Consider the following 15,325-nt stretch of genomic DNA (forward strand, 5'->3'; position numbering starts at 1 on the left):
GGCTGAGGCAGGAGAATCGCTTGAAACCAGGAGGCAGAGGTTGTAATGAGCCAAGATTGCTCTGTTGCCCAGGCTGGAGTACAGTGGCACCATCTCAGCTCACTGTAACCTCCACCTCCCAGGTTCAAGCAATTCTCCTGTCTCAGCCTCCCGAGTAGCTGGGATTACAGGTGCACACCACCACACCCAGCTAATTTTTGTATTTTTAGTAGAGACAGGGTTTCACCATATTGGTCAGGCTGGTCTCGAACTCCTGACCTCAGGTGATCCACCCCCCCTTGGCCTCCCAAAGTGCTGGGATTACAGGGGTGAGACACTATGCACAGCCTGATTTAATTATTTTTAAAATTATATCTATGTTTATTTATCTATGTTTTTATTTTATTTAATTATTTTATTTTTGTCACCTCGGCTGGAGTGCAATGGCTTGATCACAGCTCACTGCAGCCTCAACTTCCCAGGCTCAGGTGATTCTCCCATCTCAGCCTCCAGAGTAGCTGGACTACAGGCTCGTGCCACCATGCCCAGCTAATTTTCTATATTTTTTGTAGAGATGGGGTTTTTCCATGTTGCCTAGGCTGGTCTTGAATGCCTGGGCTCAAGTGATCTGCCCACCTTGGCCTCCCAAAGTGCTGGGATTACAGGTGTGAGCCACTGTGCCTGGCCTTCATCTACATTTATTTATCCTTCTCCATATCTACAGTGTAATTTTAGTTTTTATTTCTTCCTAAGGATACAGTTTTAATTATTTAACCCAGAGAAGGAGTGTTTATTATTAGACAGGCCAAGGTTGTGGATTCAGGTTGACCATTGACATCTCAGGACTGAGGACAGAGTGCCTGAGGGGCCCTTGCAGGGTGATTCTCTAATCTATCACCCAATCAGTTAGGTCCCTTATTATAGGCTGTTACATCAGGAAATTTACAATGATTGGCCCAGACCAAACAGAAAGGGTGTAATTTCTTCAACTCTAGTCTTTTTTCTTCAGAGTATTTGTCCTGAACGCCTTCTCTTCAGCATATCCTAAACAGCCTATTTTGCAACTGGGGCCTGATTTGGTTTGCTAAAATCTTAGTCAAGTTGTTTCACTAAAATGACAACTTTTCTTTTTCATCAACTCTTAAGACTTATAAAAATGACAGTGATAACCAGTATTAGGAAGTCTGTTCCCTGGGGATGTCCCCTTTTTTCGGGAAGGGGACCTTGGGGCTCCTGCCTGGATGTTATACGTGGCTGCTGGCATGCGAGGAGCTGGGCAATCTCTCTAGCGTGCCACTGCTCCACATGCAGACTCCTCCCTTTCAGTCTGGATCTTTACTCCTGCCCTCTGAAGAGCCCTGTAGCCTCTGATTCAGAGCCTCTCCCCTTTTGATTTTTCTGGAAAATAGTTTCTACCTCCATAAAGCAAGGGAAGAGACAAAGTTAAGCTGGCAGGGCAGGTGTTGGAGATAATCTGCACAGGTGTGCACTGGCTTGGCAACAGGTTTTTAACAAATTGCAAGTCCAAGATTAGGGTGCCAGGATGGTTGGGGTCCTGGTGAAGGCTCTCTTCCTGGTGTGCGGACAGCTGCCTCCTCACTGTGACTTCACATGGTGGAGACAGAGCGCTCTCGTCTCTTGCTCTTCTATAAGGACACTAATCCCATCATGGAGGTTCCACCGTCACGACCTCATCTAAAGCTAATTACCTCCCAAAGACCCCATCTTCAAATACCATTACACTGGGGATTAGGGCTTCAACATACGAATGGGGGTAGGGTTGCAGGGAGAAAAAAAGGTTTGTTCTATTCAAGACAATCCTGAAGGGCCATTCTAACATCAGAGCTCACCAGTAGGGCTAGCTGAGTCTGTTGTTGGGCCTGCATTTATTCACCTTTCGATTTCTCCCTCTACTTATCCTGCTTCCTTCTTTTTCCTTCCAGGATCACTGATCCTAGGACTCCTTAATATACATGTTGGAGGGTAACTTCCTGAAAGTCTGTGCCCTAGGGGAACCACACTTAGGACAGTAACTGACAGCTGTTTGTAATTTATGAGTAGCTTTTGACATGTTCTCACTATCATCTTTAATCCTCACAAACAACACTGTCAGGCATTAACTATTTTTCTGCTTTTAGGATAAGAAAACTGAGTGTCAAGAGGATATTTGCCCAGGGCCATATAGCTTATTAGAAAAAAAGCTGGGGCCCTGTGCGGTGGCTCGCGCCTGTAATCTCAGCTCTTTGGTAGGCTGAGGTGGGTGGATCACTTGAGGCCAGGAGTTCAAGACCAGTCCAGCCAACATGGTGAAATCCCATCTCTACCAAAAATACAAAAATCAGCTGCGTGTGGTGGTGCATGCCTATAATCCCAGCTACTCAGGAGGCTGAGGCAAGAGAATTGCTTGAACCCAGGAGGCGGAGGTTGCGGTGAGCTGAGAATGCCCCACTGCATTCCAGCCTGGGCAACAGAGTGAGACTCTGTCTCAAAAAAAAAAAAGAAAGAAAAGAAAAGAAAAACAAAAAAAAGCTGGGATTTAATCCTGATCTCCTGACTCTGACAAAAGAAAACAAAGAAACAAATACAGGCCTGTGCCACGAGCTGGGTCACAGAATTTGATACCCAGACGCTGACTACTTACGCCTCTTTTCTATAACAAAGCTGCATTGTCATTTCTGAAAGCATACGCATTTAGATGCCAACATGTTCACCAGTTACACTCCAAAGCCAGAAACACTCAAAACATTAAAAAGACCAGCAAAATCTTAAAGTGTTCACTGTCTTAATGAGTTTTCAGATTTTCTCTCTGGGTAAATAACAGGCAAAATCTGCTGTAATTCTCTCCAAGCAATGGGGCACCTAGGACACAGAGATACCAATAGTCTCCTTAGCAACCATCCAAAATCAAGTTGCCTGAAGATGAAATCCTGATCTATTCATGCAACAGATCACATGGGGTCAGGTACTGTTTATCTCTCTAGCAGAAACCACCAGTCACTGGGATTTTAATTGTATCCTTATGATTTCTTTAAAAAAAAAAAGAAGAAGAAGAAGTAAACACAGCAGAAATGAGACCAGTTACTAATGAGCATGCAGTGAACATAAAACCTTCAGCTGGCTTCTTTAAAGCACATACTTTTGTAAAGTGTGCTTCAGAAGCCATTGCTTACATACACACACACACACACACACACACACACACACACACACGCTTTTTAGGGCTTCAGACGCTGCCTGTTATTCATTATAATTCAAAACTCACAAACCGAGCTCATTAGGTGAATGTTTGGTTCAGGAGGATTTTGCAGTCACATAGCCATTTGACTGTGATGTGTTTGCCTCACCCTGCATTGCTTTTTAATGAGCTTGCCTCCTGAAAAACCATAATACTGAGCAGTCCTGGGGTCAAACTGGAACTAAAGGATATAAATCAATGGCTTTTCTTTTTTTCTTTTTCATTAAAACAGGCTTGCTGAAGAAGCAGGTGGTAGGTGGTGACCGGTCATATAACTAACTGCTGAGTCCTTGACAGTTGCGGGTCTAAATTATATTTTCTGTCGCCTTTCAGAACACTATTTTATTTATTAATTTAACAAATATTTATTGATATGTTTTTGATATTAATATGTGTTGGGCACTCATTAAGACTTAAAAGTACAGATAAACAGTGGTATAATTAATTAACAAAATTTCTTTACCAACAAATAATCTGAACCATGTTGTTTCAACCCGTTTCTGCAAATATAGAAGACTAGAGATGCTACTGGCAGAATAGCGCCCTGTTTCTCCTATGCATAAAGAAGAGTCACACTATTTTCAAGGGCCAGTAAAGGAGCAATTTTGTAAAATCTAGTGTCTTGTCTTACAAATCAATTTTTCCTTAAGCTTTTGAAAAGAGTCACTTTGAAAATCTAACCTCTGAAGGGAAAAGAGTGCCATTTTAAAATGACAGCTGTGGCTTTTCCTTTACAGCTCTAAATGAGCTGTAAAGAGCTGTTGCTGCTAAATGAAGGCACTAGACCAAAGGCCCAAGGTACCTGGTGCCACTGAATAGTAATGGAGTTTAGTCCTGATGGTATTGCAGTTCTTTCTTTTTGCTTTCCTTTTTTTTTTTTTTTTTTTTTGAGACGGAGTCTAGCTCTGTCACTCAGGCTGGAGTGCAGTGGTGCAATCTCAGCTCCCTGCAACCTCTGCCTCCTGGATTCATGTGATTCTTCTGCCTCAGCCTCCTGAGTAGCTGGGACTACAGGCGTGCGCCACCACACCCAGCTAATTTTTGTATTTTTAGTAGAGACGGGGTTTCACCATGTTGGCCAGGATGGCCATTTTCTTTTTATTCTCCTCCCCATTTTGTTTTGTTCTGCCTAATAGCCTATTAATGGAATTTAAAAAGGTTTCAAGCCCCTTGGCTGGTGGCAAATATCAGCAAGTTTGGGCTTTATAATTACAGCTGAACCTCCTCTGCCACTTTTTCTAGCATGCCCTATGGGTTTGTTTTTAGAGATACTAGAAAGACACAACAGTAGATGCCTGACATGCTGTCAGAATCATGCTGTTTGTAAAATACTGTGAAATCTCCCATGATTTGTGGAGCAATTTTGAAAGTCAAGTCAGGGAATCTTAGACTCCTTATGGAGGGAATTTGTAGCAAGCTGGCAGCAGCAGTGGGCGTTTAATGTATGTGTTCATTCTCTTACTCCAATTTTAAGTGGGTTTCCCATCTTGAGGGAGTTGTTTTCTCCCATTTTCTCTGGCACCTGTCTTCTTATGCAAAATTGCGTGATGCTGTAAGTACTCTCATGAGATCGGGAGGTGGGGCAGGGAGTGAAAGCCTAGGGAAAAATAATTATATCAAGGAATCAGATTAAAGAGCTGTGAAACTTTAGAGCTAGAAGAGGACTGAAAAACTATTTGTCTTGTTCGCTGTTCTATCCCCAGAGCAATGAATATTCAATCAGTAATTATCGAATGTGTACATGAGTGAAGCATCACTCTTTCCCATTTTACAGATGGGAAATCTGCAGTCACAACGATGAATGATGCACCTATAGTTTCACAGGAAATTGGGGGAGCCAGAATTCTAAACTAGGCTTCTCAGACTTTCACATGCACAGCAATCACCTGGGGATATTTTTAAAATGCAGATTCTGGCCGGGCGCAGCGGCTCACGCCTGTAATCCCAGCACTTTGGGAGGCCACGGCGGGTGGATCACGAGGTCAGGAGATCAAAACCATCCTGGCTAACACAGTGAAACCCCGTCTCTACTAAAAATACAAAAAATTAGCCAGGTGTGGTGGCGGGCACCTGTAGTCCCAGCTACTCGGGAGGCTGAGCCAGGAGAATGGCGTGAACCTGGGAGGCGGAGCTTGCGGTGAGCCGAGATTGTGCCACCGCACTCCAGCCTGGGCTACAGATCGAGACTCCATCTCAAAAAAAAAAAAAAAAAATGCAGCTTCTGCTTCAGTAGGTCAGAGATGGGCCTCTAAATTCTACATTTCTAATAAAGCGCTGAGATAACTTAATATTGTTAGTCCTGGGACTACACTTTTTGGTTTTTTTTTGTTTTGAGACAGGGTCTTGCTCTATTGTCCAGGCTGGGGTGCAGTGGTGCCTTCATGGCTCACTACAGCCTTGACTTCCTGGGCTCAAGGATCCTCCCACCTCAGCTGCTCAAGAAGCTGGGACCACAGGCATGTGCTACTATGCCCGGCTAATTTTTTATTTTTTTGTAGAGACAGGCTCTAGCCATGTTGCCAAGGCTAGTGTTGAACCCCTGGCCTCAAGTGATCCTCCCACATCAGCCTCCCAAAGTTCTCAGATTACAGATGTGAGCCACCATGCTCGGCCACAGGCACCACACTTTGAATAGCAAGGTTCTAATCACACATTTCAAACTTCTTCTTCTTATTATTATTATTATTTTTTTGAGATGGAGTCTCACTTTGTCGCTCAGGCTGGAGTGCAGTGGCGCTATCTCAGCTCACTGCAACCTCCATCTCCCAGGTTCAAGTGATTCTTCTGCCTCAGCCTCCCAAGCAGCTGGGACTACAGACATGTGCCACCATGCCCAGCTAACTTTTATATTTTATGAAATATAAAAATATAGAGATGGAGTTTCACCACACTGGCCATGCTAGTCTTGAACTCCTGACCTCAAATGATCCACCTACCTCGGCCTCCCAAAGCGCTGGAATTACAGGCATGAGCCACCACCCCTAGCTCAAACTTCTCATAAGTATTCCTATGTTTAAAAAAAATATACAACTGGCTTTACCAGTTGTGCATTTTGTTTTACTCATTAAACTTGAGATTTTAAAACTGGGTTATGTTACAATCAGCCCTTATTGCATCACAAATGAGTATGTGGAGATTGTAAACTAAGTGAACTGACTTATCCAGTTGCCAAGGTGATGCAGGATTTTTCTCAACCCCTTTGTCAGACTTGTGACGGGGGTACCCCATTTACTCAGCCTGCCACGCTCAACCCCTTGCAGCAGGGAGCACATGAGTGAGCAAGTGCGGGATCTGGATGGCTGCTTTGGGTGCTTCCAGGAGCAGGCTGCGTGCAGGCCTGGCAGCAGTGCCCAGGTTGGGGTGCCTGCAACCCCTGAAGCTCCAGAGGGCATGTTACAGTGTTCTTTTAGCTCTGCCGTCTGTGGACAGTGGTGTGTTATCAGCTCAGTGAGCCCCTTGCCTCATCGTGTGGGGTGGCTGCCCTCTGCCAGTGAGCGCAAAGGGCCACTGTGACAGCCTTTTTTGGGTACCCACATTCAGTGGATCCCAAGCTCTTGTGTGGCATCTAAGATGAATGAGATAGCCCAGACACTTGAAGGATGGTGAAGGTGGAGAATTGTGTTAGGCAATGGGAAATGCCTCTCAGCAAAGAGGGGAGCCGGAGAGGGGACAGGACAGGCAAGTAATCTTCCCATGAAATCCGGCTGTCTCCAGCCGGCTCTTCCTTGTAGTCAAGCCTTCTCTCTGAAATTAAGCCATCTCTCCTCTGAAGCCCATCTGTCTCTCTGAAGGCAAGTCACCTCCCTCCAGTCAAGCCACTTCTCTCCCTCTACTGACTGAGTCTGGGGTCTTTATAGGCACAGGATAGGGGCATGGGGTGGGCCATAGGTAGTTTCAGAAAAGGCAACATTCAATCAGTAAAAAGACATTATTCAGAAAGAACCGATCGGAAGAGAGCCAGCAAACGGGGATAGACGTTCTCACTTTGGATGCAGGTTTCAGGCTTTTGGGCTCAAAGGTAGGGTTTTGCCAGGGACCCACCTGTCCGCCTAGAATTTCTCTGCTTCCTGCCTCTATCAAAGGGTATGGTTAAAATGAGAATTTTTTTTTGAAACAGAATCTTGCTTTGGTTGCCTAGGCTGAAATGCAGTGGCATGATCTTAGCTCACTACAACCTCTGCCTCCTGGGTTCAAGAGATTCTCACGTCTCAGCCACCTAAGTACATGGGATTACAGGCACGCACCAACACACCCAGCTAAGTTTTGTATTTTTATTAGAGATGGGGTTTCACCATTTTGGCTAGGCTGGTCTTGAACTCCTGACCTCAAATGATCCCACCTCAGCCTCCCAAAGTGCTGGGATTACAGGCATGAGCCACCCCATCCAGTCCTAGACCAAGGACCAAGGTTTTATGGTGCAGATTAAGCCTCCCTGTAGCAAGTTTCAGAGTTCTTATCAGACCTGAAAAGGTGCCCGACTCTTAAGTGAATTCTCTCCTAGATCAGGAAAAAGACTTGGAAAGCTAAAGGGACTTTTTTTTTTTTTTTTTTTTTTTTTTACAAAATGTAGATTTTCCCCACAAGAGGCAGCTTTGCAGGGTCATTTCAAAATATGTCAAAGAAATACATTTTGGAGTAAAATATTTTTATTTCTTTCAGGGCCTGCTCTCTGTCATGTGATGTTATACCAAAGTCAGGCTGGAATTTGGTGTCTTATTGCTACAAAAAGTCTGTTTCTTCAGTCTTAAGATTTCTGCTGTAATGTTAAAACTGCCTAGCTGTGCCTGAATTTCAAAGGGAGGAAAGTAAAATGAGGGATCTCAGACAACCCCCTTCCAATCACGACCTGAACTAGATTTTCAGGTTTACTTTGGAATGCCTTTGGCTGAGGCAGGGGGCAGGCATCAGTAAGTTGAGGTGCATAGAATTTTATTTTTGGTTTACATTATCATGAGACAAAAAAACTGGAAGTTGGAGGGCCATGTTGGAGCATGTGTTCAGTGGGTTCAAGCAAAGGGGAAAGGTTTGTCGATGTGTTTGTCCATGTCTCCTCACTCATTCTGGAGGAGTGCTTCTTCTGACCACCATACTGACACTCAAGCAGCCCAGCTACTCGGGAGACTGAGGCAAGAGAATTTCTTGAACCTGGGAGGCGGAGGTTGCAGTGGACTGAGATTGGGCCACTATATTCCAGCCAGGGTGACAAAGCAAGACTCCATCTCAAAAAAAGAGAAAACCTTGGTCTTCATAACCTCTTATCTTTTTTTAATTTTTCTTTTCTTTCTTTCTTTTTTTTTTTTTTTTGAGAGGGTAGCAGCAAGATCATGGCTCATGGCACCTTCAACTTCCTGGGCTCAAGTGATCCTCTCACTTCAGCTTCCCAAGTAACTAATAATTTTTTTATTTGTAGAGACAGGGTCTTGCTTATGTTGCCCAGGCTGGCCTAGAACTTTTGGCTGAAGCAATCCTCTTGCCTCGACCTCCCAAAATGCTGGGATTACAGGCATGAGCCACCACACTTGGCCCCAGATAGTTCTTTCTACTGATTCCAGGTCTTTAGATAATAACTCTTTCAACCAATTGCCAATCAGAAAATCTTTGAGTCCGCCTATGACCCAGAAGCCCCCACTTCTTGTTATTCCACCTTTCTAGACCAAACCAATGTACATCTTACATGGATTTGTTGCGGGACCTTTCCTTAGTTCAGCTAAAGACGGGGTTCCTTGTCCCACAGCCGCCAAAGTTTAGGCTTGCAGATGGTTTGAAGGATGAGTAAAACAGGGTATTATTGGGTGAAAAGGAATAAAAGGGGGAACAGGGACTCTCCGCAAGGTCGGAGTTACTCTAGTGTGCTTCCCGCCTTGCAGTTTGAATCCTAGGTTCCACACAGGAAGAGGAGGGGCCAGGCTCCTCCCCGCTACCAACGGGGTGAACCTCTGTAGCTCCACCCCAGTGCGCAGGCCGGTTGAAGTTTTGCCAGGGACCCCTCCCGGACCCCTCCCACCCGGCTGTCTCATATTGATTGATGTCTATGTCTCTCTAAAATGTATAAAACCAAGCTGTAGCCCGATCACTTTGGGCACATGTTGTTAGGACCTCCTGAGGCTGTGCAACAGGCATGTCCTTAACCTTGGCAAAATAAACTTCTAAATTGATTGAAACTCACCTCAGATACTTTTTGGTTTACAGTTGATTAGTTAAGCTTAGAACAGTTTGTCCCCCTGAAACCAGCTAACCACAGAGAATACCCTCTCCTCTTCAGATTACTGAGACTTTCCCTGCTTGCAAAAGAACCCAAACCATAAAAGTCACCCCATCTGTAACTTGTTTCCCGACCGGAAAAAAAAAAGTCTAAGGTAAAACCACCTTAAGACACTCTGGAGTGCAATAGCCAGAAAAAGATCATCTCCTTAGACAGAGAGAGAGAGAGAGAGAGCGCACGAGCGAGCACAAGCTATCCTTATGACCTAGCTGTGGAAATCCTGTAACCTCACTTTCACCACATTCTATTTCTTTGAAGTGAATCACCAGGGGGTCTGGCCCACATCATGAGGGAGTGTACTAGGCTTCACATTTTCAAGAAAGTAGTGTCAGATGTACTGGGACATATTTTGAAACCACCTGATGGTCATATCCAATGGCAGTAGAAGGAGTTGCCCAGGAAGATAGGCAGTAACTCAGGTCCAATAGTAGCTTGTTCTAGCATTCTCTCAACATAAGTATTACTGTCCTCATTTTTCTTGCTTGGAGGAATTAAAATAATATAGAATTCATCTAAATTCAAATAGTACTATAGCAGGTGCAACATATTTACTCTAGTCTGCCGCCTCACACAAGAAGATATTGGTTAAATCTCTCTGGATATAGAGAGGAATTTTATCCTAGTATTTGTCTCTCTGCCATTTGGCAATCCCACCACCACAACCAATACAGAAAATCAGGGATGTTAGGTGCACACTTTGGAAAATCATCAGAGACACCTGCTTTATGCAAAAAAAAAAAAAAAAAAAAAAAAAAATAGAGTGAGAGAGAGATGTTTTCATCACAGAGGGAAGAGATTCTTGGAAGGAAGCCTCATAGAGTTAACCAAAATAATGAATAAGCTGAGTCTAAAGAGTCACAGTAATTATTTCATGTTAAAGATGTTAGAAGAAAAAAAAACACTGAAAAAAGTTTTGCATTAGAATTAAATTTAAAAGGCTAAATTATAACTCTCATAAGACTAATGGTCAATTTTTTGTCTGGGTTCTTTGTGGCTATTGGATTTGTGATTTACAAAGAGGATGTTTGACCCCAGGGAAGCAAGTAACATCCCTTTCACAAAATAGCATTCATTGCTCAAGGTCTCTGAAAGCTGAAGGAACTGTAAAAGATCAATAATCAGTTTTAAAATGTGATTCACATAATGCTGTCTGGATTCAGGAAATGGGCAAATTCTGATTATTTTATTTTATTTTATTTTTTGGAACGAAGTTTCGCTCTTGTTGCCCGGGCTGGAGCGCAATGGCACGATCCCGGCTCACTGCAACCTCTGCCTCCCGCGTTCAAGCGATTCTCCTGCCTCAGCCTCCTGAGTAGCTGGGATTACAGGCGCCCGCCACCACGCCCGGCTAATTTTTGTATATTTAGTAGAGACGGGGTTTTACCATGTTGGTCAGGCTGGTCTTGAACTTCTGACCTCAGGTGACCCACCCGCCTCGGCCTCCCAAAGTGCTGGGATTACAGGCGTGAGCCACCATGCCTGGCTGATTATTTTATTAATGAGGGGTACATAGGAACAAAAAAATATAAAATAAGAAACTGCTAAGGACTTTCTCTCCTGCCATGGTTGAATCTGAACCTTGAAGCCAGAAAAATAAATAGCAGTGGAGCAGAAATATCACTACTGTCTCCTCTCAGGAGTCATTCCATCTTGATCAATTCTGTCCTTCCAAGCATAGCTTGAGTTTACTGGTCCTGAGACATGACAGAGATGTGTCCACCTTGGGCAACTAGCCACAGAAAAAAGACTTGTGACCCAGGCCAGTTTATCTTCACTTGGTGGCCAGCCAGCAAGGTGTTAACATCCAGAGAGTTGAACACATATACAGACACACCAGTTTCCTGGCACTCGATTCTCCTAGTTCAACAATTCCAGAAGAAAGACCATACCTTTCTTTCTGGTTGCTTCACAGGCAAATGCTGTAGAAATCCACTATATCTAGGAATAAAAGCAACTAGGAAATCAAGCAACTGTGAATTTCGGGGCTTCAATTTTAATGGGCTATAAAGGCTTTTCTTGATGAGTGATCAAAAGATGTTGTGGAAAAAAATAAAACAAAAAAGACAATGGCTTTGAATTAGCTGGGTGTGGTAGCACACACCTGTAATCCCAGCTGCTCAGGAGGCTGAGGCAGGAGAATCGCTGGAACCCGGGAGGCAGAGGTTGCAGTGAGCCAAGACCGCGCCACTGCACTCCAGCCTGGGCGACAGAGTGAGACTCCGTCTCAAAAGACAATGGCTTTGGGGTGGAAGTTGATAAAGAGGATTGTGAGCATGGGAATCAGTATTGTAGAGAATTGAGCGCTGATTTGTCTGGGGTACTCTTACACCGCTCAGGGTGCATTTTTTTTTCTTTTTTTCTCCTTAACATAAAATGAGAAAGGATGCATTTTTGAATCCAAGTACTTATTGACCAACTATTTCACATTCACAGTATGAAAACGTCACACTATCTTTGCTCAGATCTGTGCCAGAATCAACTTTTAATGCTATATTTAATAGAGAAAATGATGAGGAAGTTTCTGCAAAGAAGGAATGACAGAATTAGAATATAACAATTTTGCAATGCCTAATGAATTACTGGATCTAGGCAACATTCATCAATGGCTGCTAATATTATAGAAAGAAAGAAAACCAGACATTATATATCTCATGCTAGAAGTGCACAAGACCACTTAAATAGTCTTCCCCTCCACCAAAATCCAACCTGAGTCTGATCATACCTTGAAATCAATCTACCATGTTGAGAAAATACTCAAGGGAAGGCCAGGAGTGGAGATTCACACCTGTAATCCCAGCACTTTGGGAGGCCAAGGTGGGTGGATGGATTACTTGAGGTCAGGAGCTCAAGAACAGCCTGGCCAACATCACGAAACCCCAGTCTCTAATAAAAATACAAAAATTAGGTGGGCCTGGTGGTGTGCGCCTGTAGTCCCAGCTACTTGGGAGGCTGAGGCACAAGAATCACTTGAACCTAGGAGGCAAAGGTTGCAGTGAGTCAAGCTCGCACTACTGCACTCCAGCCTGGGCGACAGAGTGAGAGACTCTGTCTCAAAAAAAAGAAAAAAAAAAAAAAGGCCGGGTGTGGTGGCTCACACCTGTAATCCCAGCACTTTGGGAGGCCATGGCAGGCGGATCACCTGAGGTCAGGAGTTTGAGACCAGCCTGGCAACATGGTGAAACCCCGTCTCTCCTAAAAATACAAAAATTAGCTGGGCATGGTGGCGCATGCCTGTAGTCCCAGCTTCTCAGGAGGCTGAGGAAGGAGAAGTGCTTGAACCCAGGAGGTGGAGGTTGCAGTGAGCTGAGATTGTGCCCTCCAGCCTGGCAACAGAGTGAGACTCCATCTCAAAAAAACAAAAAACAAAAAACAAGGGAAGAAGTAACATCATACATGAGACCTTGGAGATGCAATCAGAAAACTCTAGAATGTAGAAAACTGTATAGCAGGGCCGGGTGCGGTGGCTCACGCCTGTAAGCCCAGCACTTTGGCAGGCCGAGGCAGGCGGATCATGAGGTCAAGAGATCGAGAGCATCCTGGCCAACATGGTGAAACCCCGTCTCTACTAAAAATACAAAAATTAGCTGGGCGTGGTGGCAAGTGCCTGTAGTCCCAGCTACTCAGGAGGCTGAGGCAGGAGAATCGCTTGAATCTGGGAGGTGGAGGTTGCAGTGAGCCAAGATCATGCCACTGCACTGCAGCCTGGCAACAGAGCGAGACTCCGTCTCAAAAAAAAAAAAAACACACACAACAACAACTGTATAGGACAAGTAAATTAGTTTTTCATCAACAACAATGATGGAGAGTGGTGTATGAATCAGAGAGAGAGGAGGAGAGAGAAGGGGAACAGAGGGAAGGCAAGGAGAAAGGAGAGGAGAGGACTAAGAGACATCAAAACCAACCACAATGTATGGACCTTATTTGGCTTCCAATCTAAACACACTGTAAAAAAAAAAAAAAAAAAAAAAAAAAGAAAAGAAAAAAGGCCAAAGTCATATACACTCTTTTTATCCTTTCACTTTTCCTTTTGGCTGAAAAATGCAGACATTACGGTCCCCCATGCAGACAAGGACACCACACAGGGATGGCAAAATATGAGATGGAAGGACCATGGTCCCCAAACAGCTTTATATGCAGCACAGCCACCATGTCAGCTTAGTCGTTTACACACGAGGGAAGTGAATTATGTTGACAAAACTATGGCAAGAGCTTGAGCTATAGAAAAGGTCCTTAAACTGAACATTCCTTGACTCCACCCATTGATATTTATCTAATATTTTCACCTACCCCTGGATGTGAAAACTGTCCTCCCCTGATGCTTGTGTATTTGGGGAGGAAATCCATCAAAAAGGAAGCCCCTAGCTTTTGCCCTTAGTGGAATGTGGACACAATTGCTCATTGATATTCAGCACACATGGCTTCTCTGGCTTTGAAATCTGAACACTAGTGAAGATCTGTCTGTTTAATATGGTATTTTAGGGCTTATTCTTATTTGTGGTTTTTATTTGGGCACTTTGATCAAGTATTTCAGTGCTGTTTCCTAACTATAATTTTATTTAATATATAAAATATGATATACATGTTTTGGTAAATTACATATGAAAATAAATTGGATTTCAATACAGTAATGATGAATTGAATTTTCTCATGCTTTATTTAACACTTTATTCCCACAGCAATACCTAATGAGCAATTAAAGTGACTTACTGAGAGTGAAGGCTTCTTGCAGGTCACAGCAGCCATATGTCACATCAGACATAAGGCACTGAACAGAAGCAATTCAACGGAATCATGTCATCCATCAGGCAAAATACATGCAGAGTCTTGTCTGATCTCCCAGAAGGAGCAATGCTGTGTGTGTATGTTTTGTTTTGTTCTCTTGTTCTGAGTTATCACTTGGTAGATGGTCCTGTTCCTATTTTGCTATACAGCAAAGAATTACAAAGCCTTGTCAATTCTGCCTCCTAAAACTATCTCTGATATTTTCAAATTGATCCACTTCCTTTCATCTTCACTACCACTTCCCTAATCAAAACCACTATCCTTTTCCATTTGGATTAGTAAAATAGTGTCTCAACTAGTCTCTTGGTTTTCATTCTGGTCTCCTCCAATCCATTTTTTCCACAGCAACTACAGGGATCTTTTGGAAATGTAAATATTATTTTATATTCAAGCTTAAATTGGCTGGGTGCGGTGGCTCACGCCTGTAATTCCAGCACTTTGGGAGGCCGAGGCGGGCGGATCACGAGGTCAGGAAATCGAGACCATCCTGGCTAACATGGTGAAACCCCGTCTCTACTAAAAATACAAAAAATTAGCCGGGCCTGGTGGCGGGTGCCCTGTAGTCCCAGCTACTCGGGAGGTTGAGGCAGGAGAATGGCGTGAACCCGGGAGGGAGAGCTTGCAGTGAGCCAAGATAGCACCACTGCACTCTGACCTGGGCGAAAGAGCAAGACTCCATCTCAAAAAAAAAAAAAAAGCTTAAATTAACCTTCCAGTTGGCCAGGCATGGTGGCTCATGCCTGTAATCCCAGCACTTTGGGAGGCTGAGGCGGGTGGATCACAAGGTCAAAAGTTCGAGACCAGCCTGACCAACATGGTAAAACCCTGTCTCTACTGAAAATACAAAAAATTAGCCGGGTGTGGTGGCGTGTACCGGTAATCCCAGCTACTTAGGAGGCTGAGGCAGGAGAATCGCTTGAACCTGGGAGGCGGAGGTTGCAGTAAGCCAAGATCGCGCCACTGCACTCCAGCCTGGGCGACGGTGAGACTCCGTCTCAAAAAAAAAAAAAAAATTCTCCTTCCAGTTTACATTTGCTGTGTACAAGGTCTCCAAGGCCTTGCATGGT

General features: G+C 44.1%; 1 long non-coding RNA gene across 1 annotated transcript, besides 1 other annotated feature; it reads left to right on the plus strand.

Moving 5' to 3' along the window:
• Positions 1-6,494: 6,494 nt before the first annotated feature.
• LOC101929259 (uncharacterized) lies at positions 6,495-13,422 on the plus strand. Its single transcript, NR_120424.1, has 3 exons — positions 6,495-6,645; positions 7,353-7,450; positions 11,910-13,422. It is a non-coding gene; the product is annotated as an uncharacterized LOC101929259 (long non-coding RNA).
• Positions 9,266-9,325: a silencer, noted in NCBI's record as "silent region_5310". NCBI's record gives its function as "represses an Ori minimal core promoter by ATAC-STARR-seq in GM12878 lymphoblastoid cells {active_cell/tissue: GM12878}" and the evidence as "EXISTENCE:reporter gene assay evidence [ECO:0000049][PMID:35858748]".
• Positions 13,423-15,325: the final 1,903 nt, after the last annotated feature.

This window comes from Homo sapiens, chromosome 13 (genome assembly GCF_000001405.40).
Source record: "Homo sapiens chromosome 13, GRCh38.p14 Primary Assembly".
Taxonomy (NCBI): domain Eukaryota; kingdom Metazoa; phylum Chordata; class Mammalia; order Primates; family Hominidae; genus Homo; species Homo sapiens.